The 23,483-nt window shown below is 36.1% G+C and overlaps 1 protein-coding gene across 1 annotated transcript in view; it reads left to right on the forward strand.

Annotated features, from left to right (window-relative positions):
* The first annotated feature begins 396 nt into the window (after positions 1–396).
* The window catches only part of NPY2R (neuropeptide Y receptor Y2), a 43,354-nt gene continuing 20,267 nt past the window's right edge, over positions 397–23,483 (forward strand). Inside the window, exon 1 of the mRNA NM_001375470.1 lies at positions 397–470. The gene's annotated coding sequence lies outside the window, so the exon portion shown is untranslated. The remainder of the gene's footprint in view (positions 471–23,483) is intronic.

A 23,483-nucleotide genomic window follows, 5' to 3' on the forward strand; every position in this document is an offset into this window, starting at 1 on the left:
TGGATCAAATGGTAGATCTACTTTTAGTTCTTTAAGGAAGCACCACACTATTTTCCGTAGTGGTTGTACTAGTTTACATTCCCACTAGCAGTATAAAAGTGTTCCCTTTTTACCACATCCATGACAACATCTATTATTTTTTGATTTTTTGATTATGGTCATCATTGCAGGAGTACGGTGGTATTACACTGTGGTTTTGATTTGCATTTCCTGCAGGCATTTTTAAAGCACTCCAGAGGATACTAATGTGCAATGAAGATGGAAAAGCATGGCTTTATGCCATATATTGTCTCACTTATACCACAAAATTTTGGTACACCTCCAAATTCTCTTAGCTATGCTCCCTTTTCTCTGTTTTTTTTTTTAATTTCATGGTTAAGAAGGCATAAAGATTACGTATTGAGGAACCATATTCATTCAGATAAAGCCACAGACACGAATTCTCATGGAAGCCTATCAAACATAAACAGGTAACTAAATGTGTTTTTCTCTCTTTTAAGCAGTATCTTTTAGTTTTGATTAATTTGGTTTTACTTCCTTTGTGTTGCTTAAAAGAAAGATTTTATTTCTCCTGCAGTCTAAATTCATGCATGAAAATGTTTCTACCTCCAGTGCTTATGTACTTTAATACATGTTTTAATGCTTTAATAAACAGCATTTAAACTGTTTAGGTCATTTTGGGATTAAGTTCAACTTAATCATTTGTTCAAATGTTAGTATGAGCTGCAGTTTTTTGACATCTGTAGGTGATTCATTTACTCCATTTCTGAGCACTAGATAACTGGATTTTTCTGGCTTTCTGATCAGAGTTTTTGCATTGATCTTTTTCAGAAAGACTCTGGGATTATAACATGGAAATAGTGAATTTCTGACTGCAATTGGTGTTGAAAAAGCTAAGAACCAAGTTTCCCTTAAATAATTAGCTCCATACTCAAAAGAATTAAAGTGTATATACCAGGTACTGTTATAGGTATCTAAATGTTGTCTCATTTATTTCTCATAAATATTCTATTCACATTTGCCAAATGCTATGATTTCCATTGCAACAAAATGGGTGAGAAGAAGGTCTCCTAGGCATTAAGTGATAGAGCTCAGATATTTGGACAAGGAAATTTGGCATATCATTGGCTAAGCTTTATATATATATATATATATATATTTTTTTTTTTAAATCTCTACTTTAAAATCTGTTTTAAGTATTTGGATCAGGATATATTTCACTCAGTAAACAGCCTAAGAAGAGAACTTTTACTATATAAGGCATAAAGGAAGACTGTAGATTTAAAAATTACATTTTGGGAACTAAAATTATACATCCCCATTCTGGGAAGATAGTTCTTTTCCATCCCTAATAACTCTGAGACACAGCCATGATAGAAAAGAATTTTGGGAACAAGTGTAAAAAGTCTGAAAGTAGGTTTGAGGAAGTGCAAATTTGGAGAGTTCAGGAAAGAAAGGATGTGAATGTAAATTTTCTGATATTCAGGCATTGCCATGAATCAAATAATTACTTCTGATAACATGAAAATTATTACACAATACTAAATTTGACCATACTCATTTTTATTCATTATGACTCTTTTACTACAAGGATGTAAAATCGCATTTAATAAAACTGAGTTATTCTGAAACTATTCTCTAATGGAGAGAAAATTTTAAAATCTTTAAAAATGGATTTGGATCTTAATCTTCTATATGAAAGGGAAAAGATAATTCATTTGTGAAGCCTTAGGACCCACCTTGCTCTTCTATCATAATTTTCCATAGTTAGTTTGAGAGAGTCTTGCACAAAATATGACTGAAATGTGAAGCAGCAATTTTAGTGTATCATTAAGGCAAATTTCGCCAACCGAGTACCATTTGCAAAAAAACAAGATTCGGTTTTGCCATTATGATTTCAGGGAGTATGAAGAAAGAAAAAGAAATGATGCAAGTTCAGTATAATCTGCTGAAGTATTTGTAAATACACAGGGGAGATACAGTCAGTGAAAACTGCATGTATTTAAAGTTTTTAAAAGTGGAATAGAAAATAAGGTCGACTTACCTGAACATCAGTTAAACCCCAATGAAGAAAGAAAGTTCTATCTGTACTATCTGTATTAAAACCAACCTCACTTCTGCTGTCTGGTCATGCTTTTCAATATCCAAATCTTAGCCTAGTCTTTAGTCCTGTTTTTCTTGGTGTTGCTAAGAAAATGGAAAGATCATTTTATTTTATGTGTAATTAGCAGATTTTAATGTTGGTAAAAGTAGTTAGTTGCAATATGCATATAATAGCGATTTGTCAGTTTTTATGTATAATTTTTGTTAAAAGCCTATTCTCAAGTGTAGTGTCAAACAAAAATGACAAGATACTAATCTACTAGCTCATCTTTGCTCACATGTCTGAGAAAGTGATGTGTACTAATTTTCTGTTTGTTCCAAGTGATAGTGGTTAAACTGATCAGTTCAAGCAAAATATAACAATAAAGAAAAAAGAAAAGAAATAAATAAAGAAAGAAGGAAAGAAAGAAAAGAAAAAAGAGAGGGAGGGAGAGAGAGAAAATTTAATGGGTCACACACACCTGGGAAGGGCCAAAGATCATGCCATTGAAATGGGCCCAATCATCTCATAGAGCTGATATTTATGGGATTTTTTGAATAAACATACAAGTTAACCTTCCTAAGTTTAAAACTTGAAATGTACATCTGTCTCATCTGAGTTCCTACCTCAGGAAAACAAACTTCAGCCAAGGAAATAAAACTTGTCCGATCACCACATCCAGACAATGAGATGTCAGACATCTTATCCATCATGTTTGCTTCCTTACCCCTCTCTAATTCCTGTTTTCCCTGCTATAAAAACCCCCCAATTTTAGTTGGTTGGTGAGATGGGATTTGAGACTGTATATCCCTTCTCTTGGCTGTAGCACCCTATTAAAGCCTTGTCTCAGCGACTGGAAGTCTTTGCAGTGAGCAGCAGGACCTAGTGAAGCTCTGGCATTTCACGAACACCAGCAGCCCTGCCTCTTTCCCTCCATCTCTCAGTCTTGCGTTGAACTCTGTTGGCTTTCTTCTCGGGCGGGGTCTTTCCATGTGGTAGATGGCCACTGGCAGATCAAGGAATATAATGCTCCCATAATGATCATACAGCCTTGTTTGCTCAGGATAGTATGGGTTTGTGCCCAATGTGTTAAACTATTAAAAGGTTCCCTTTCTTCTGTTTACATGATAAATTAGGTGGTTACCCTACCTGATAGCCGGTGCAGCCACCATATTAGGATACATAAACACAACTTCAGCTTTGTGTCCCCACAGATCTTTAACATTTACTCAGTGAGGGTAGTCTCTTCTGCCCTTGTGTAGTAGTCTGTTCATGCTGCTTTGGCAAAACTGCACACACTAGATAATTTATAAAGAATGGGAGTTTATTTCTCACAGTGGTGACGGCTACAAAGTCCAAGATCAGGGCACCGGCAGACTTGGTATCTGGCGGGGACCCAGTGTCCCTTCCAAAATGGTGCCTTGCTGCTGCATCTTCCAGAGGGGTGAGCTGTACCTTCACATGGCAGAAGGGACAAAGCGGGAGGAGGATGAACACTGTGTTCCCATGGCGGAAGAGCAGAAAAGGGCCTAAGCTAGTTCCTTCCAGCCCTTTTTATCACATAATCACTTCCTAGAAGGCCCCACTTCTTAATACCACCAGAAGAGAAATTAAGTGTTAACACATGCATTTTGGAGAGGACACATTCAAACCATAAGATTCTGACACTGGCCCCCCAAATTCATGTCCTTCTCACATACAAAATGCATTCATTCCATCCCAGTAGTCTCCAAAATGTTAATTCATTCCATCTTCCACACAAAAGTGTAAAGTCCGTGTTCTCACCTAACTGTCATCAAGTCAGAGATAGGTTAGACTCAAAGGTGTGTTTCTTTCTTAGGCAAATTGCTCTTTAGCTGTTAACCTGTGAAATCAAACAAGTTATATGCTCCCAAAATACAAATAGCTAGGCAGAAACAGGACCCACACTTCCAATCTAAAAGGGAGAAATAAGCCAGAAGAAAGGGCTAATGGGTACCGAGTAAGTCCCCAACTCAACAAGGCAAACAACATTAACTCTTAAAGCTTGACAATAATCTTTGACTCCATGTCGAACCTCTGGACACACTGGGGTCCCCACCAGTTCAACTTAAATGTTTCAGCTGTCACTCATTTAAGCCCCCTGCCTACAGTTTTCCCAGGCTGGTGCTGCATGCTGGTGGCTCAATAGTTCTGGGAGTGCAGGCATAGCCCTGCTCCCATGGCTCCACTGGATATTGCCCCAGTGGGGTGTCTTTGTGGTAGCCCCAACCCTGTGTTAGTTTTCTGCTTGTGCTTTCTGAGGGATCCTTCAAAATCTAGGTGAAGGCAGTCATACCTCCCCAGCTTGTGCACCCTACACACCCATAGAGTTAGCACCACATGTATGCCATCAAAGTTTACAGCCTGTATCTTCCAGAGCAGCAGCCTTAGCCACACCTAGGTCTGCTTGAGCCACCACACCAAAAACCCCTGCCTTTTATCACCACCACATTGGAGGTTAAGTTTCACCATAAATTTTGGAGAGAACCTACCTTCAAACCATAGCACCTGGTTGGAAACTTACCTCATATGGCATTTCTGCTTACTCTGAAGTTATAAGCAGGTCTATGGTTCTGTGTAGTCACAAAACAGTCTAATTTTAGTTATAAGAATATTTCTAGTCTAAGAATTTAGTTGCTTGCTTTGAGGTTTCTTCAAATATTCTTCCTCCCCTCCCACCAAGCTAAGGCCAGAGGTTGGCAGCTACTTGCCTTTGAAATACTGTGAGATCATCTGCTCTTGTTCCTCATTCACACCTTTCCTTGTATCTTAACTACTGTTTAAAAACTACCAAGATGAATGTCAGGGGAAGATGAAGCTGTGTTAGGTTAACAGCTCTCCTGGAAGAGGCAGTACCCAAAAAGTGTGGGTTTCAAGGCAGCAAAATGTGGCAGTAAATATTTATCTTGTTATCAATTTAACTCCATCTTTGCTCAAGATAATTTTAATTCTTTTAATTTTATTGAGACTCATTTTACTGCTTAGCATGTGCACTAGCTTGACGTATGTTTCATATACTTCTGAAAATATGTACACGAAGTTATAAAGTAAATTTTTATATAAATGTCAATGAGGAGGAATTTGTTGATACTGCTGTTTAAGTCTTCTATAACATTTTGGTTTTCTGTCTACTTGTTCTACAAGTACTGAGAGAAGAGGTTGAAATAGGCAACTATATTTGTGTATTTGTTTCTTTATCATTTTACTATTTCAGTTGTTCATATATTTTGAAACTTATTTGAAGCATATTAAGTGTGCGTGCATTTAAAATTGTCAAATCTGAATAAATAGAATGCTTTATATTTATTAATGAAGTCCCCCTTTGTCTATGCTAAAATTACTTGTTCTGAAGTCTGCTTTGTCTGATATTAGTTTTCATTAAATTTGGAAACCCTGCAGATATTTCTTCAAGTACTTTTGCTGTTTCTCCCCTTCCTCCTTTTGGAACTCCCATTGCCCAAATGTTAGACAACTTGATATTTCTTCACAGGTCACCGAGTTATTGTGTATAATTAGTGCTTTTTTCTCTATATTCTTCATTTTTGCTAGTTTCTATTGCTTTATCTTTAAACTCACTATACTTCTTATTTCCTGCAAAGACCAATTTGCTGGTAATTTCATTTAGTGATATTTTTATTTTTAGTACTGTATTTTTCATATCTAGAAGTTATCTTTTTCATATGTGCCATTTTTTCTCTTAATTATGAACATTAATGTTTCCAATGACAACCCTGAGAATATTCAACATAATTGCAATAGCTTTCTTAATGTTCTTGTGTGCTAATTCTATCATATCTTTATTTCTGTTTATGTCTGTTATCTGACATTTCCTGGTTATGGGCCATATTTTCCTGCTTCATTGTATGTCTACTTATTTTTGACCGGATGCCAGATATTGTGGATTTTTCTTGTGTGTGCCAGATTTTGTTGTATTCCTTTTAAGTGGTGTTGAAATTTTTTGGCAAGCTGTCAAGTTACTTGAGGGACAGTTTGATTCATTTGAGGCTTGCTTTTAAAGCCTTTTAGAAGGCTTGTTTAGAGTAGTCACTACCCTTGGGTTTATTTAGCCCCCACTTCTATGATATGAGCAATTTAGGATCTTCACTGACTGCCCTGTGTATACAGTGAGTCTTTTCAACTCTGGTTAGTGGCAACTCATATATTTTCTGCCCCGGTATGAACTCTTGGGAGTTTTCATCTCTGGCAACTGCTGTTTCCAAGGAATTTGTCTTATGTTGGCTCATGCGAGCTCACTTTCTGCATATATAGTTTGGGTTTTAGTCAAGACCCAACAGGACCCCATGCAGATTTTGTAGCCTTAACTGCAAAGTTTCCTCTTTTTTGATATTCTATCCCACAAATTCTAGATTGCTTGATCTCCCTAAGATCTGGTCTCCATCTCCTCAAGTCAATAAGACCAGTGGAAGAATCTCACTCTCTCTTCCATCATCTTGAAATTTTCTCTTGGAAGAAAGCTGATGAGATCATAGTATTCATTTCAGTGGTTTGCTTTGTCTGAGAGACAAGTCCTATACTTTCTATTGTCTAGTATGTAAACATAGTTTTTTCTATATTTTATTTTGTTTTTTTTTTTTCATTGCTTACAACAGAGGGGTGATTCCAGACACTGTTACTTTCTTTTCCTATTTTTTTCTTTTTCTTTATTTTTTCTTAAGATGGGGTCTTGCCATGTTGTCCAGGCTGTTCTCAAACTCCTAGGCTCAGGCAATCCTCCCACCTCAGCCTCCCAAAGAGCTAGAATTACAGGCATGAGCTGCTGCACCTGGCCTGAAACTGTTACTTTCACATGGAAGCAGAAATGCTGCCATCAGTAATTTTAAAAATAACATTCCTGCTATGAATTTTGTATTTTTTATAAACTTTAGATGTGCAATTAGGAAAAACTTTTTTCCTTTAACACAAAGAGTGCTAACATCCACTTGTCATGAAAATTTGCTTGAATGCAGTTCATTACACAGATGATTTTCTACATCTTCCCTCAACTTGAAACAATATGATTGCTCAGTGGAATAGATTTTTTTACATATTCTTTCATTATTATACTTCTTATACCAGTTGACAAGATAATTTTTACCAACTTGCATGGCTTACACATTTTGTGATTCTGTTATTTTGTGATAAACAATACAGTTTTATCCTTCTGACTATTTTTTTCTAATATTCCAGGGAAAAATTGAGGTTTCCTAAGTCTTCCCTTAAATCTTGGAACTCTAATATATATATTTGATGACTATTTTTTCTTTGCAAAGTCTTCCAATTAGGCTTCATGTTTTTTACAGTTTTTGTATTAGAGTAGGCATGTTAGTAACTGTCTATTTGTATGAGAAATAAGAGCATCCAATTTTAAATATTTTCTTGATTTTAACATTTTTATTTATATTTGACATTTTAAAACATATTTATTTATTATATATAAATAGATTATATGTGATAGTAATGTCTATACATTCGAACTGATGAAATTACGTTTTATTGGTGATTCAAGTAAAATAAATAGTCTGAAAGTCAGTGATGAGACTTTATCAAAATGGTGAGCAACTGTTAGTAAAGTTGAAGACATAAACAAATTATATTTTTCCTTTATTTGTATTACTAGAAAAGTCAGAATGAATAAAACTGTGCAAACATACTTTGTACTTTTTACATGACGTGGAGGTCATTTCCAGGATCAGTTATAGGGTAATTGTAAGCTCTTCACATGCACAATTACCCGGTAGTGCATTCAAAAGTTACACAGCACGTGGATAACTTCTTATAGTGAGGAACTGCCCTGATACTTCAGGATATCTAGACTCTTTTGATCTCATTCACTAAATGATTGTGGTACCCTCCAATCCACCCATCACTGTGGCTTCCAAGAAACCCTCACACATTTCTGAAGCACAGAATTTAGGATGTTATCACCAGTGGTGTGAAATATTCAAAGAGTTAGGGAGAAATAAACGTTGGAATACATATAGAATATGCCAACCATTCACCTATCTCTTTAAGGATCTTCTGTAAAAGAGCATTAAAAAAAAACCTTACTATGGTCTGGATGTTTGTGTCCCCTCAAAATTCATATATGAAACCCTACCTTTAAAGGTGATGGTATTAAGAGGAGGAGACTTTGGGAGAAGATTAGATCATAAATGGGATTAGTATCCTTATAAAACAGGCCTAAGGGAGCTTTTGCCCCTTCCACCAAGTGAAGCCACAATGAGATGTTGTCACTTATGCACCAGAAAGTGGGTCCTCACCAGACACTGAATCTGCTGGCACCTTCATCTTGGACTTCCTAGCCCCTAGAATGGTGAGAAAGTTGTCTACAAACTACCCAGTTTATGGCATTTTGTTTTGGCAACCCAAATGGACTAAGATGTTCCACACCAAGACATTGACAAATACATTGGTGGGACTAGCACAGACTTCCATAACACTCATGGTAGTGGGTCTTTGTAGAGGAAGGATGAACATGAACAGGTTACCATTAAAATGGGCTCTCTGAATTCAATGGGGATGATGGAATGTCCCAGTGGAAGGAATCCAAAAAAATACAACTTGACTGTCAGGTGCAAAGTGAGTGTGGTTTCCCCAATAAGCAGTAGAACTAAAGGAATAAGCAGAATGGTTTGTTTCACAGAGAAAATAACTAAAGGCTAATTAATCATGGGCTCCTCAAGACTAAAAGAGTTATCAACCATCTAAGTTATTATCTAAGTTAAATTATATAACTCCTCGATTCCAACCACATTGCTCCATCCTACCCCTCACACCACCACCAAAAGGAAAAGCGTTTTTAAAACTGGGTATAATTTGAGTCAGCTACCATGTTTCTGGAGTCCACTGGTCTTAGCTGTATATATATTTATCCTTTTCAGAATTTAAGACAAATTGCACTAACTACCCCTAAAAGCAATATGCATCTGTCACTTGTGGGTGTCTTTGGATTTCAGAGGTAACACAAAACTGCATTTGGTCATGTTTCCCAAACTAATTTAGTGATAATTCAGAAATTTGAAATGGGGCCCAGAGAAAGAGAAGTTTTGGTGGCTGCATCATGGAATACTGCAAGCTGATGTCACTTGGTTCTTTAGAGTCAACAGAGCGAATGATGTTTAAAGTGTCAGTGCTATGCAGAGCCTCTCTCAGGCCACAATAGGAGAATCACAATGAAGTTCTCTTGGGTTTTAAACCAAACTCCTCTTGGTCGAAAAATATTATTTTAAAATAATAGATTTTGACCAAGAATTATTATTCTTGGTTTTAAATAGGAACTTGGAAGAGAGTGACCATCTGAACATGGGGCACAGAGAGAACATTCAACCCAAGCTCTCTGTCATGAGCTGTTCTAGGTTTTTGTTTGTTTGTTTGTTTTTTGAGATGGAGTCTCGCTGTTTCACCCAGGCTGGAGTGCAGTGGCGCGATCTTGGCTCACTGCAAACTCCGTCTCCTGGGTTCAAGCAATTCTTGTGCCTCAGCCTCCCGAGTAGCTGGGATTACAGGCGCCCATCACTATGCCCGGCTAATTTTTGCATTTTTGGTAGTGATGGGGTTTCACCATGTTGGCCAGGCTGGTTTCAAACTCCTGACCTCAGGTGATCCACCTGCCTTGGCCTCTCAAAGTGCTGGGATTACAGGCATGAGCCACCATGCCCAGCCGAGCTGTTCTAGTTTTATTAATCTGTTAAACCATAAGTTCGGGTATTCCTCGGAGCACTCCATCATCAAGTAAATGTGTTAAAAGCAATTCTGTGGCCTGACCAAGTAATGAATATACAAGTTGTATAACAAGTTGTATAAGCAATCGACTCACACTCTCTCTGTGCGGTGCCTACTTTGCTAAACAAACGCCTCCATTTCAGTGCACATTTATGACCTCATGGGAGAATTCCTTATGACCTCAGGGCTGAGGAGGAAATATAGGAGTTTTATTTCCAAATGACTTTGCATAATAATCTGGTTCCAACCAGAAATGAAATGCTGTCGTTTTCACCAGCTAAGGAAGACTCCAAGAGACAGCCTGGAAGGAAATACACTCCAAGTTGAGCAGAACTTCAACTGGAACAAATGGTTTTCACTGTTTGTTTGTTTGTTTTTCTGGAAGAAGAGATGGCCAGAGGCATGGATCTACATACATTTATGGGCAATTTTTAATGATTTTTTTAAAAGGATTAGAGAAATGAGGATAAGGAGACTTGCAAGAAGAAGGCATCAACAGATGTTTTACAAAGGGCCTAGAGTGTGAGGAAATGAGTGAACCATTGGAACCACTGGAATGCTTGCTCCAATATTGAAAGCATCCAGCAATTATGTGGACAAGACCTCCTGCTCTGCACAGTGCTTGCTTACTGGGTTCATGAACAAAATGACAATAGTGGTAGGGATTACACATGGACTCAACAACATGGACTGCCCTGCAAAACACTATACCCTCAAAGGCCCTAACCAAACCCCAAACCTATATACTAAGCAAATCAACAAGCCATTTACTTCACAGTGAAAATGACAACTGTAAGTTCCATCCTTAGTAAACTCCATCCCCTCTCTTACCTACAAATGTGTCCATGTCACCCTTCTTCCTCCTGTCTCCGCTTTAGACTCAGAATAGGAGCTGTGCACCCAGTTTAGGGATAATACCTCTCCTTTACTCTTGATGATATCTTGTTCCATTTTATTCAAGGCTTAGCTATTATTCCTTTTACTCTTTCTATAGGTCTTTTTCAGGTACAGTGAAGTTCCATCTTATTTAAGAAGAACCCTCTCTTGACACTGAACCCCACCTCTAGCCTCAAACAATTTCTCCTTTCATGCCCAGATAAGTCCCTTGACAGACTGGCCTACCCTGATTGTCTCTACTTTCCCAAGTTGCTTTTACCCTGAAAATCCAAAGTTAATCTTTGTACCTATTCTTACTAGACTAGAGACATATAATATCAAGTAATTATTAAACCCAGAGAAATAATTTCTACGTGGAGATGTTTTAAGTTATCTCACATTAGACTTTGAGAAGCCCATACTACCTGTATTTATTCCAAGGCTAAAAAACAAAGCTAAGTATACTCTCTCAGCCTATAAGTAAAGTTGGGTGGATTTCTCTGTCCTAGAGATCCTCCAAAGTACACACTCTCTCTACCAGGAATGACCCATGAAGCTGGGGCCCCCTGAGCCATAAAAAAGGTCTGAGACCTATTTTCTTCCATTGGCTTTTCAGGCAGTGGTTTCATATACCAAGTACAGTCATTATTTCTTAGTGTTTTCTTTGTCATATCTGAATAACTGAGAATCATTCTCAAATATTGTGCTGCGCGATAGCCTTTATTGCACAATCTATTAGTCTAATTGTGTCTGGCAAAATGTAATACAAATTATTATTAAACCTATGCAAGTAACTGTATTGTCATGAAAAGTAAGGGAAAGCAGTCAAAATATTTGTTTCTGAATTCTGTCAGTGAAAATCAGATACTATGGAAAAGATATATTTCATTTTATTTTTAAATACATAGTCTGCTAAATTATATATATATTATATATATTTATAAAAAATATTATAAAAACAAAATTGGAATGAGAGAGAGTAAAAATCCTGTTAGGTACAACTATATATATATATATTTTTTTTTTCCTGAGATGGAGTCTCGCTCTGTCACCCAGGTTGGAGTACAGTGGCACAATCTTGGCTCACTGCAAACTCCACCTCCCAGGTTCAAGCGATTCTCCTGCCTCAGCCTCCCGAGTAGATGGGACCACAGGCGCCTGCCACCACGCGTGGCTAAGTTTTGTATTTTTAGTAGAGACGGGGTTTCACCATATTGGCCAGGCTGGTCTCAAATTCCTGACTTTGTGATCTGCCTGCCTCAGCCTCCCAAAGTGATGGGATTACAGGCGTGAGCCACCGCGCCCAGCCAACATATATTTTTAATAAAAATTCCTTCAATATTTCCTCTAAACATAAAGACATATTATGATAGTGAGGTCATTAAAACACCTCCAAGGTCTTCCAGTCTATTCTGTAGTCCCTGAAAAATTTATAGTAGCAACATTTTACCTGTACAAAATTATCATTTGATTTAACATTTCTCCCCATAAAGTTCTTATAATACTGTTAGTAGTAATTAAGAAATATGGAGCATAAAAAAACTAGTTATTTCCATATCCCTTTCTTCATAACGCAAATAAATGATTTTTTGACTCCCTGGAGAAAATCTCTAAGGTAGTTTTAAATATTAAAGAAATGCATTTTTTTTTTTTTGTAAATGGAGGATCTAATTTTGGTACAACAAAAATCAAACAAGTTGTTGAAAGTTTCTTGTCACTTGATTAAGAGAGAATCATGTGTGCCTGGTGGGTGAATAATAACTGCCTATCTATTTAATCAGTGTGTATTATAGTTTTTTAAGAAAGCATAAAAGGCAGTCACACCATCTATTGTAAGAAATATTAACTTTTTCAGGGGTGAGTGAAATGTGTTTTTTTTGGTTTTGTCAGTAATCAAGGACATGATAAAGCATATACATCATGTTTACACGTCTGAAAAGTGACAAGAGCAACAGTACACATTCATTAACAAGACCAGAAAGTATCGCCACTCTGTATCATACTAAGACTAAGAATCAAAGGGACATGTGTTAACAACTATGCCTTATGATCAAGCTGTCAGTGTTCCTTCCTACTTAAAATTTACCCAGGGATCCAAAGATTATTTATTAGTTAGACTTAATATTAGTCCAAGGTTATACAGTTAATTAAGAATCTTGGATGTCATGTTTTAAACTAACACATTAGAAAACATGATTCTGCCTATATAAAACAATTTGTCAGACTTGTGACTCAATTTAGTTTAACACAGCTTTATATTAACCATAATGATAAATCATATTTTAGGTTATTTGATTAGTAAAGCAGTGTAAGAAATTTAGTAAGTTCAGATGAACTAGTGTCAACTAATGTGAAAACAAACACAAATCTGAAAATCACATCAAGAAAAAGCCATATAGCTGTGTTCATTTTTTAATTTTTTGTTTATATTTTTAAATTGACAAATTGAAATTGTATAGATTTACGGTGTACAACATATTTTAATATATGTTTGCATTGTGGATTGGCTAAATCAAGCCAATTAACATATGAATTACCTGATACGCTTGCTAATTTTTTGTGTGTATGGCAAGAGCACTGAAAATCTACTCTCTTAATAATTTTCATGTATACAATATAATGTTAGTAACTATACTCATCATGATACACAGTAGATCTTTAAAATTTATTCCTCCTAACCGAAATTTTGTGTCCTTTGACCAACATCTTCCTGACCACTCCCAGCCTTGGTAACCACTGTTTTACTCCCTGTTTCTATTAGTTCAAATATAGCTGTGTTTTTAAATCAAACTCATTCAAGTAATGTGATTTATCTAAGAATTTACCTGGACTGTATAAACTTGGGTTCTTATATAAAAATATTTCTTGGCTATCAGTTAAAAGAAAAAATTTCCTTAAAAGTCTAACACATATAAGTATGAAAAGTTCAGCTTCTTTATTTTCTACAATTTTGGAGAAATATGAGATTTATGTCAGTCTTATTATTCTCTATGAAGTAATTAGAACAGAGCTCCTTTAATTAGAGGAACTTCAGAATCTAATTAATTGGAACCTAATGGAAGTAGGAAATAGTTTATACTGATGCAACAGATAAAGGTTTTTCTCAGTTACAGATGTGCAGGCACACAGCTTGCAGCTCCACTCTCAGCCGTGGGTAAATTAATCACTGAAACGCACTACATCAGACCTCAGAGAGATGTCCTCCTTTCTAGTGGCCACAAAATGATTCCTTAATTGATTTGTGTGAACAGATAGAATAAAATAATAAGAAAGTAAACTCTCTACTATTTAACATGCAACAGAGAATAGATCCCCATCATCTTGGCAGGAATCACCAAAAGGTCAGATCATAAATCTGGTTTTCTGGTCATTGTCGCCGTTATTGAGGAATAACATTTTGTATGTGCAAATGGAATGAGACTCTAAGAAAGACAAGAACCAAAGACACAAAGAAACAAACCAGTAGATATAAAACCTAGAGAAGTGCAGAGGTAAAATTTGATTGCTACTTCAGGAGCAGCGTGAGAGAGAGAGAGAGAGAGTCTTGCCCTTACACAGTGCAGTTTAATTGGCTTCATTAAGTGAATTCACTTGGACATCTTGGCAGTACCTCCAAAGGATAATTTTCAAAATGTAAAAATAAAATAAACACATGGTTCATACAAATATAAACAGCATGTGTCAAATATTTTCTTCATCTTATTGATGAAAGAGTAAAATGGTAAGGTGAGTTCAGAAACTATTCATGGCTCAGGTCATTTGTAGTTAATTTCATTACAAATAAGATTGTCAATGTAGTTGCAAAAAATGTTTAATGTCGTACAGAAAAATAAGCCACAACCTTTATCTTTTCCATGAAAAGAAATTGCAACTGCAGTGGACAAAAATATGCAAGTTAATATGTAACCTAAGTCTAGGACTTTTAATTTGTTGTCAACAGTGAGCAGAATGAAGAACATTCTCCTAGATAATGCAATAAACCTTTGGTGGGCCTGGCGAACAATGCTTCTGAATATCATTGAAAAGACATGCCATCCACTTTTTTTTGAGGCCCTATTCCACATAACACACCTCATAAGCACTATGAGTACAACAGATCTAAAACTAAATCCATTATTATTTTTCAAAACATGTTTCTCTTTTTTACTTCCTCTTTTGGTTAGTGGCTTCACTATACACTCAATGACCATGTCCAAAGCTTGATAATCAGGCTCTTTCCTCCCTAACCTCATTCCCCATACAAAAGAATCACCTGTTCTATGTACATTATTTTTTCAAAGTTTTTGAGATCTTCTTTCTAAGCTTAATCCTTGCCAAATTTTTGCATCCTAAAGTCTCTGATTCAGTGTTTTCAAACTTGTGTGTTCATCAGAATCACATGAGGTGCATTGTCTGTAGACTCTAAGATGGTTCCTGATTTCCCCTGTCTCCCAGTATTCAAGCCCTTGTATAAATCCCCCATCTTGAGTATGGACACCATGTGAATTGCTTCAAAACAGTCAAAAGCGGCAAAGGTGATGGGAGGTCTCTTCCATGATTATGTTACATATGAGTAAAACTTTCCTCTTGCTAGCAGACTCTTTCCCTTGCTGACTTTAATGAAGTAAACCTCCACTTAGAGAGACCTATGTGACAAGGGACTGAAGAAGCCTCCAGGCAACAGCTAGCAAGGAGATGAAGCTCTCAGTCTGACAACCCACAAGAAACTGAATCCTGCTAGCAGCCATCTGATCTTTGAAGCTGATCCTTTCCCAGTCAAACCTCAGATGGGACCCCATATTTGTCCAAAATATTAACTGTAGCCTTGTGAGATATCCTGAAGTAGAAGACGTGGATAAACCATGTCCTAATTCCAGAAACTCTGAGATAATAAATGCTTGTTTTAGCTGCAAAATTTGTGGTAGTGTTTTACTTAGTAATAAATAACTAATAAGAGAACTTTTAAAAAATACAGGTTCTCAGACCTCTTTAAATGTGGGATGGGGACCAGAGACCTGCAGAGCTTTTTTAAAGCACTTCATGTAATTCTAATATTACGATATGCCTTATTTGTGAATCACTGTTCTAAGTCACATCCCTTCCTCCCATAAAATGTTTACATTGCTACCAGAATGTTCTTACTAAATCTCAGAAATGACCACACTTTTTGTGTGCTTTAAACCTCTCAATGACTGTACATTATCAGTACAATAATGCAACTAGCTGGCCTGGAGTACATCATCTTCAATTATGCAGATATTATGTACCTCCTCAGTATAATCTTTTACCATTTCACCAAAGGCATCCTGCACTATATGGAGCCAGTCCCCTGTGTCAGCAGTAACTACATCTCCATGAATTTGCTAGTGTTTCCTCTGCTTAGAAATTCCTGTCCTCTGTCCTAGCCCCCATCTGTTTGTATCTGGTAGATACAAATAAAATGTTAAATCTTCTGTGAATCATATATGTATTATAGGACTTATCACCTTGTGACATAATTAATTTTTAAAATGTATCTCTTGTCCAGTGGATGGTGGGCTTTTGCATGGGCTAGACTCAAAGTTATGAATCTTTTAAAGTAGCATTTTTATAAGTTATATATCTATTGTATACATAGAGCAAAATTCATGCTACAAAGTTATTGTTCAATATAATATAAAATGAATAAAAAATATATTTGCTCAGCCCTAGTTGCTTATAAAATGCCATACATACCATCTACAACCAAACCAGGAGTAGGGACCCTACTCCTATGTTTCCTAATTCAATTTTTTATAAATCAAATAATATAGGCGGCTTTCATTATTTATAGGAATTCTTCAGTAATTCCATTGGAAAGCAAAAAATCCTTCTGAGAGCATGTTACAATGTTACTTTTGCATATCCTTACTCTTTCTTTTCTTTAAGTTATATTGAGCTATTTGTCTTTTAAAGCAGAGTTCATCCGTATTTAGTGATATCAAATTATACATTTGAACAAATGCTTTTCTCTCTCTGGAAGTCACTGAATGTACATCAGGGCTAATGCTTAGATTTTTAAATCCTGGGAGAAAGAGAAAATGCAGCTCAGGCCCACATGTAGATAGACACTTAAATGTTTTTAAAACCAATGCAATGACTCTGCAAGAATTGCATGGGCAACATTTGAATTCAAGTAAAATTTTAAAAATCCATGTTTCAAGTTAAATAAAAGGTATACCTTTCTGATGCTCCTAACTGCTAGGAAAAATGCTAAGATTAAAGAATGACTCTATTAGTTGAGAGTGAGTTAGATACCTGTTTTCAAGTATTGCATCATTTCCTTGGAAAGGTCACAAATATGGCTATTTAGAGTTTTGAGTTTTTAAGAAGAACAGAATATAGAAAACATATTTTGTAATCAGAGCATAGATTAAATAAATGATCAACCACTCAAAAGAAAACAGGTAACACAGTTTCAAAACCACCTTTCTCTTATTTTTGGCTTTCCCAAGCCTCAACTTCCTGTACTATATTAGTGAGTAAGGGACAGATAGAGTAAAATAAAAGGAGGGTGTTTATTATATATTCTTGTTCTGTTCTCAAGTACTGTCATGTTTTAAATTAAATACTTGAAATGTATAATTTCTGTACAAAATAGCAAATGCAGTTGAAGAACTAGGATAAAATCATGATAATTACTTCAGAAATTCATTCAATGACGTAAACCAGAATTGCCAAATATCAATAGTAATTTACCTGGAATTTACCTGGGTGCACCTTCAGAGCTTTAACGTATGAGGTTATGTCTATATTCGTCAAATGAAAAGGCAGGCGATTCAATATCCAAGCATCTTTCTTACTAAGGGGAAAATAAGCAAATTGGTAGTTTTTCTATGTTGGCTCTCTCATTGTTACACAAAAAGCATTTAAATAATTACTGTTTGTGTTTCTCACTATATGTTTCCAATTCACAAACTTAATTATATTTTCAGAATTTAAATTTCATTTGTCAAAAAATAGCTATTGTTTCTTAATTATCACAGAATTTTATTGCTGGAAGAGAGTTTTGAAGTTATCTATTTCATTGTTTCTCAACTAGATGACTACATGTTCAATTGGAAATGATAAAGCACATTTGCGTTTTTGAAACCCCTAAACTAAGACAGCAGAGAAGAGGCAGAATAGAAAGAGGTGAAGAAGAGAATGGAGATGCATTCTCCCAAATTTTGAAAGAAAAGAAAAAGACACAGGCACTTAATACTTTGCTGAGTGGATCTTTGTTTGGTTAATGCGAACCTAGCTCCACATTTCATTTTCAGGTGAAGTGAGGACCATAAAATCTCACATTCTTTGTCCAATAGGAGGTACAAAAGCACAGGCATTCCCTAGCCAAGCAAGCTTTCCACCTTACCACCTAAATGTAATTCTCATAATCTTGGAACTGTAGCCTAACCAGAAGACTTTTCTTTCTTTCTCTTTGCCCTTTTCTAAACTTATGTGAAAACTTTCCCATTTTTTCAGACATCTGGCAAATGCATAGTGAGGTACACTGAAGTACCATAAATCTAGATGCCAAAACACGTTTCACATTAATGTTTTCTACTTCTAATGGGAAAATAAAATTTATTAGAGGTAGATACTTATGTTTTCTCCTTCTGTAACTAAGTGGCAAACCCTTATTCATCTTTCAAATCCTTGCCTGAATTTCATCTCTACATTCTCAGTTTTCCTATGGAACATTAACCATGCATTTTACTTTGCTGGACTAAATTTATGGCTTGTGGACTTTCTAGTGTACTTATAACATTGCAACTTATTTTTCACATGTCAACACTTTAACTAGACTTTAAGCCCTTTGGAGCGAGAACTGTCACTCTTACTTCAGGGACTGGTAAAGTGGCTGTCACATACTACATACTCCATAAATATTTTATTTTAAAAGGTTGTTTGATTATTTGTAGGGCAATATGGATTCTAAAAATCATTTATGTTTGGTGAATTTTAAAGTCACCACTTTATGCATCATTGTATGCAAAATATTATTTTCTGAGTGAATTTTCTGGCGATACTTTCATCTTATCTTTCTGAGTTCCAGTATTTATAGCATTTTTCTGTAAGGTAGGGGTATCAGTGTTCAAATCCATTTTACCTTAATCATGAAACTGCAAAATAATTCTGGATCACAAGTGCTGTCTTTCAAAACAGGATTATTATAGTGTTCAAGACAGCTGCCAGAGATGAATGCACTTGCTTTGTTTCGTTAGCTGACCTGTTGATGTAACCTGTGGTTTTATATTTAAGAAGGCATAAACAGTTTGCAATTTTGTATCTGTTAGAACCAACTCCAAGAGGCTGGCAAATAGAAAATAATTTCTATTTGAAATTATGTCACTTGTCTGATTTGGGGTGAGAATATATTAGTGAAGACATTGTGAAAAAAAAGGCCTAGTAGCTTGCTTATGACCATTCTAATCATTGCACAGGATAATTTGTAATGCTCAATTTACATTCTTGATCTAGGTATTTATAATAATTTTCTAAAACAAAAAAGAGTCCATTTCAGTCTGCATAATATGCAATTTTCTATAGACATTCCTTGCTCTTAGTAAATATATTTAATATCTCACACACAGTTTTAAAATTTTCAAAATTAATTGCTTAACAGCTTTCAATTTCTATACTCTATCATTGGTTTAAATACCCATCAATGAGTAACCAAGAGTTTCATAAATGTAACTTGAAAATATGCAAGACTTCAAGAGAGGCACAACTCTTACGACTAACATTATTGTGAGAATAAACCATTTTCTCAGCTCCAAACCTCAAGACAGCTAGTGTTTTCTAGACCCAGTCTCTGGAAGTGAGGAAGAGGAGAAGGAATCATTTCTGTGTAGGCTGTAGAAGGACAAGGCCCAGTGCTGCCTGTTGTGGGTAATAACCCATTTAGATTTCCATTCATCTGGAATATCTTTTCTGGTATGAGTGTCCATTTTAAGTAGGCAAGAATGGAGTAGTAAGGGAGGTCACAATAGTTTTAAAAAAATCTGGTGTTTGAGAGTAAAGATGTTATGAGAAGGGATTGTAGGATCAAGCAAAGGTATTTAACTGAAAACTGACGAGTAGAGGAAGGAGGCAAGATGTCCATTCAATAATAATAGCCAATATTTTTTGAGAGCTTACTCTGAGCCAAATGTAGAACTCTTTAATCCTAGAGACTATATATATATACGGTCCCATCGAATCCTTACAACAGCTTTATAGGTTCAATACCATTACCCCTCTTTCACAGATAAGGAATATGAAGCCCAGAGGACTTGTCCAACTAATTTGCCCAGAAGCCTAATGGCTAATGGGTGGCATAACAGGTATTTAAATCCAGGCAGGCTAAGTCCCCAGCCCATTTACACATAATCACGAGGCCACAGCTATCTCTGTTAGATGTGTGAGCCATTATTTATCCAAGGTGCAAGCAGGAATTAACTTCAGAAATAAGGGCTCGCCTGAGAAATGGGATCCAAGGAGAAATGGAAAGATTTGTGTCCTTGAGTCAGAGGGAAATCTACTTTCCTTAGATGGTGGGGTGGATAACTTGTACCTAGAAGAGGAGATGACAGCAAGAAGGAGAGACTTGTTCAGTATTCTCTCTAAGAGATGTGAGGTCCACCTAGGCATGGCACTGAAGGAACAGAGAGTAGGACATTAAGAGGGATGAATAGTTCGTGCATCCATAGTTTTACCTGTTAATAGGAGGAATATTTGGAACACTCACTATCTTTTCCTACCTCTCTAGTACATACAAATGTATGAGAAACATTTATTGACATCTGTGTGTAAGAGGCACTGTGCTAGATGCTGATGATACAGTGGTGGATGAAACAAACATGGAAACAAACACAGATGAAACAAACACAGAACCTGTCTCGTGTTCTCAAGGTCTAGCTGGGAAATAGGTATTCATCAAAGTGTAAAATAATCACATTAAAATGTGAAATTGAAAGTGCTACAAGTGTCAAAGAGAGACACACAGGACTAAGAGCTCTCTGATAAGGAAATTTAACCTGCTTAGCATGTTAATGGACTGTTTCTCTAGGGAAGTGAGTCTCTGACTTTTTAAAAAATATACATACAGTGTTTGTTTGTCAACTGTATCTCGACAAAGCTAGAAAAATGGAAGCAGATGGCACACATTTTCGTTTGTGCAAGATGAATAATTCCTAGAGATCTACTGTACAGCATAGTCTTTATAGGAAATAATAATTGTTTTATATATTTTTTCTTTTTTAAGTTTTATTTTAGGTTCAGGACATACATGTGCAGATTTGTTTCATGGGTAAATTTCATGTTGCTGGGGTTTGGTGTACCAATGATTTCGTCACCCAGGCAGTGAGCATAGTCCCCGACAGGTAGTTTGTTGACTCTCACTCTCCTCTCACCCTCCATCCTCAAGTAGGCCTCAGTGTTTTTTGTCCCCTACTTTGTGTCCATGTGTACTCAATGCTTAGCTCCCACTTATAAGTGAGAACATGCAATATTTGACTTTCTATATCTGCATTAATTTACTTAGGATAATGGACTCTACCTACATTCACTGCTACAAAGGACATGATTTCATTCCTTTTTATGGCTGTGTAGTATTCCATGGTGCATATGTACCATATTTTCTTTATCCACCACTGATGGGCATCTTGGTTGATTCCACATCTTTGCTATTGTGAGTAGTGCTACAATAAACACATAAATGCATGTGTCTTTTTGGTAGACAATTTATATTCCTTTGAGTGTATACCTGGTAATGAGATTGCTGGGTGAATGGCAGTTCTGAGTTCTTTGAGAAATCTCCATACTGCTTTCCACAGTGGCTGAATCAATTTACATTTCCACCAACAGTATATAAGCATTCCCTTTGCTCTGCAACCTCTCCAGCACCTGCTATTTTCTGACTTTTTCATAATAGCCATTCTGACTGGTGTGAGATGGTATCTCATTGTGGTTTTGGTTTGTATTTCTCTAATGATCAGGCATTTTGGGCATTTTTTTCACATGCTTTTTGGTCATGTGTATGTCTTCTAACTACAAAGTTAATTAAGCAAAGAGATGTATCCCCAAGAATTTACAATGGATAACTTATATCTACAAATAATTTTATCAGTGTAAACTAAATGTATTTTAACATTGAATCTGTATGAGCAACAGGAAATAAAGAACTCTGCAGCAGCTTCTGAAGAACATAACATGTCAACCTGAATAATTCAGATGACATTCTCTCTCTCTCTGTCTCTCTCTCTCCTTCATATGTATTTATCCCTTTATTTATTGGCATATTTGCAAGATATTCACCCGTTAAGTGCTTCTTAAAATTAGGTATAAATGAAAAAATATTTGGAGAGTTTGATAATTGCAGATTGCATCTCTCATGCCAAGAGATTCTTTGACCTTAGTGTCCGGGGCAGAGTCTGGGAATCTACATTATTGACAGGAACACCAGACAATTTTGATGAAGGGAACCAAATCCTAGCACCACAGTTAAGAAATATAGCCCTAGTTTTTTAATAATCTATTCCATATTTGTATTTTATCCACTATGCTTATTTAAATATAATCTTAGTATTATAATATAACCTATATTTTATTCCATCTATTAATATTACCATCTTAGTGGCATATAATATAATGTACAATCCACTTAACAGAAGGCTATATTTACATTTTCTGTATGCATTCCCTGTTTCAGGTAAACTCAGTTAGGTAATTGGAATCTCCAAACAAAACGATTTCTTTATCAAATTTAGATGTGCTAGCAGACCAAGAGCAAGATGAATGAACCACTCAGAGGCTTTACTACAGCTATGTTTAAAACTGCCATGAAATACAAGAAATCACAAAAAGATGCCAGAGGACAGAGCTGTTAGAAGATTATAAGATTGTGTAACATTTGCTCTTAGTTATTAGTGTTAAGAAAATAACTCAGTGATGATAAGGAAAGTGTAGAATGGATTCCAGAAAACGAAAGTTTTATTCAAGTGTCATCTACATGTTAAAGGATTAAATTGAAGGTCTTAGTAATTATTTCTAAAATGAAAAAAAATCATAAATGCATTGCCCATGCATGATAATATGGTCTTCAGAAGCTTAGGAGATCTTGCTGCTAAAATCCAAAAATGGAACTAAACCAAAATTACACTCCTTTTACATCCTGGTCGGTGTCTAACATTTTATAGTTTGAGCATTCTTCTGACAGCTTCACTTTTTCTGCTTCTTCTTTTTTTCCCCAATATGGGTTACTGACACCTCAGCATGAATTACCTTAGAGGCTTTCCTGAGAGTAGGTTATCATGGAGGGAAGGAGAGGATAAAGCACCGAAAAGAAAATTCACATAGTTTACCTTTTAAACTTTGAAGGAGTCATCAGTGATGGCAAGAAAGATGCTGAAGAGAATGGCCAAATGCTAATATAATTATCTTGAACATAAATGATATAATCATGGGCTCAACGGGACTGAAATTGAGATTACAGATTGAAGCCAAGGCAGTATGGAATGGCAGGAGTGACTGAAAGTAACTAGGGCTCAGAAAGATGGTCCATGTCTTTTTGTGGATAGGATTTGAATTATGTCTGGAATTGTTTTGAGTAGTAGTTTGAATTAGGGAAGAGAAAAAGGTAGCTGAAGAGCCTTTTAATAAGGGAATAGGGAAGGTGTGCAGGTGCTTGAAGGAGAGAGTCATAGTCAAGAGTGGTGAGGCTGAAGTAACAGAATCACATGTGGCCCTGTGAGTGCCTTCCAGATGTACCAAAGAGGACTCTCTGGGGCCAGAGGGGGGATCTCATCATCTGTATACTTAT

The sequence above is a fragment of the Homo sapiens genome, chromosome 4 (assembly GCF_000001405.40).
Source record: "Homo sapiens chromosome 4, GRCh38.p14 Primary Assembly".
Lineage (NCBI taxonomy): Eukaryota > Metazoa > Chordata > Mammalia > Primates > Hominidae > Homo > Homo sapiens.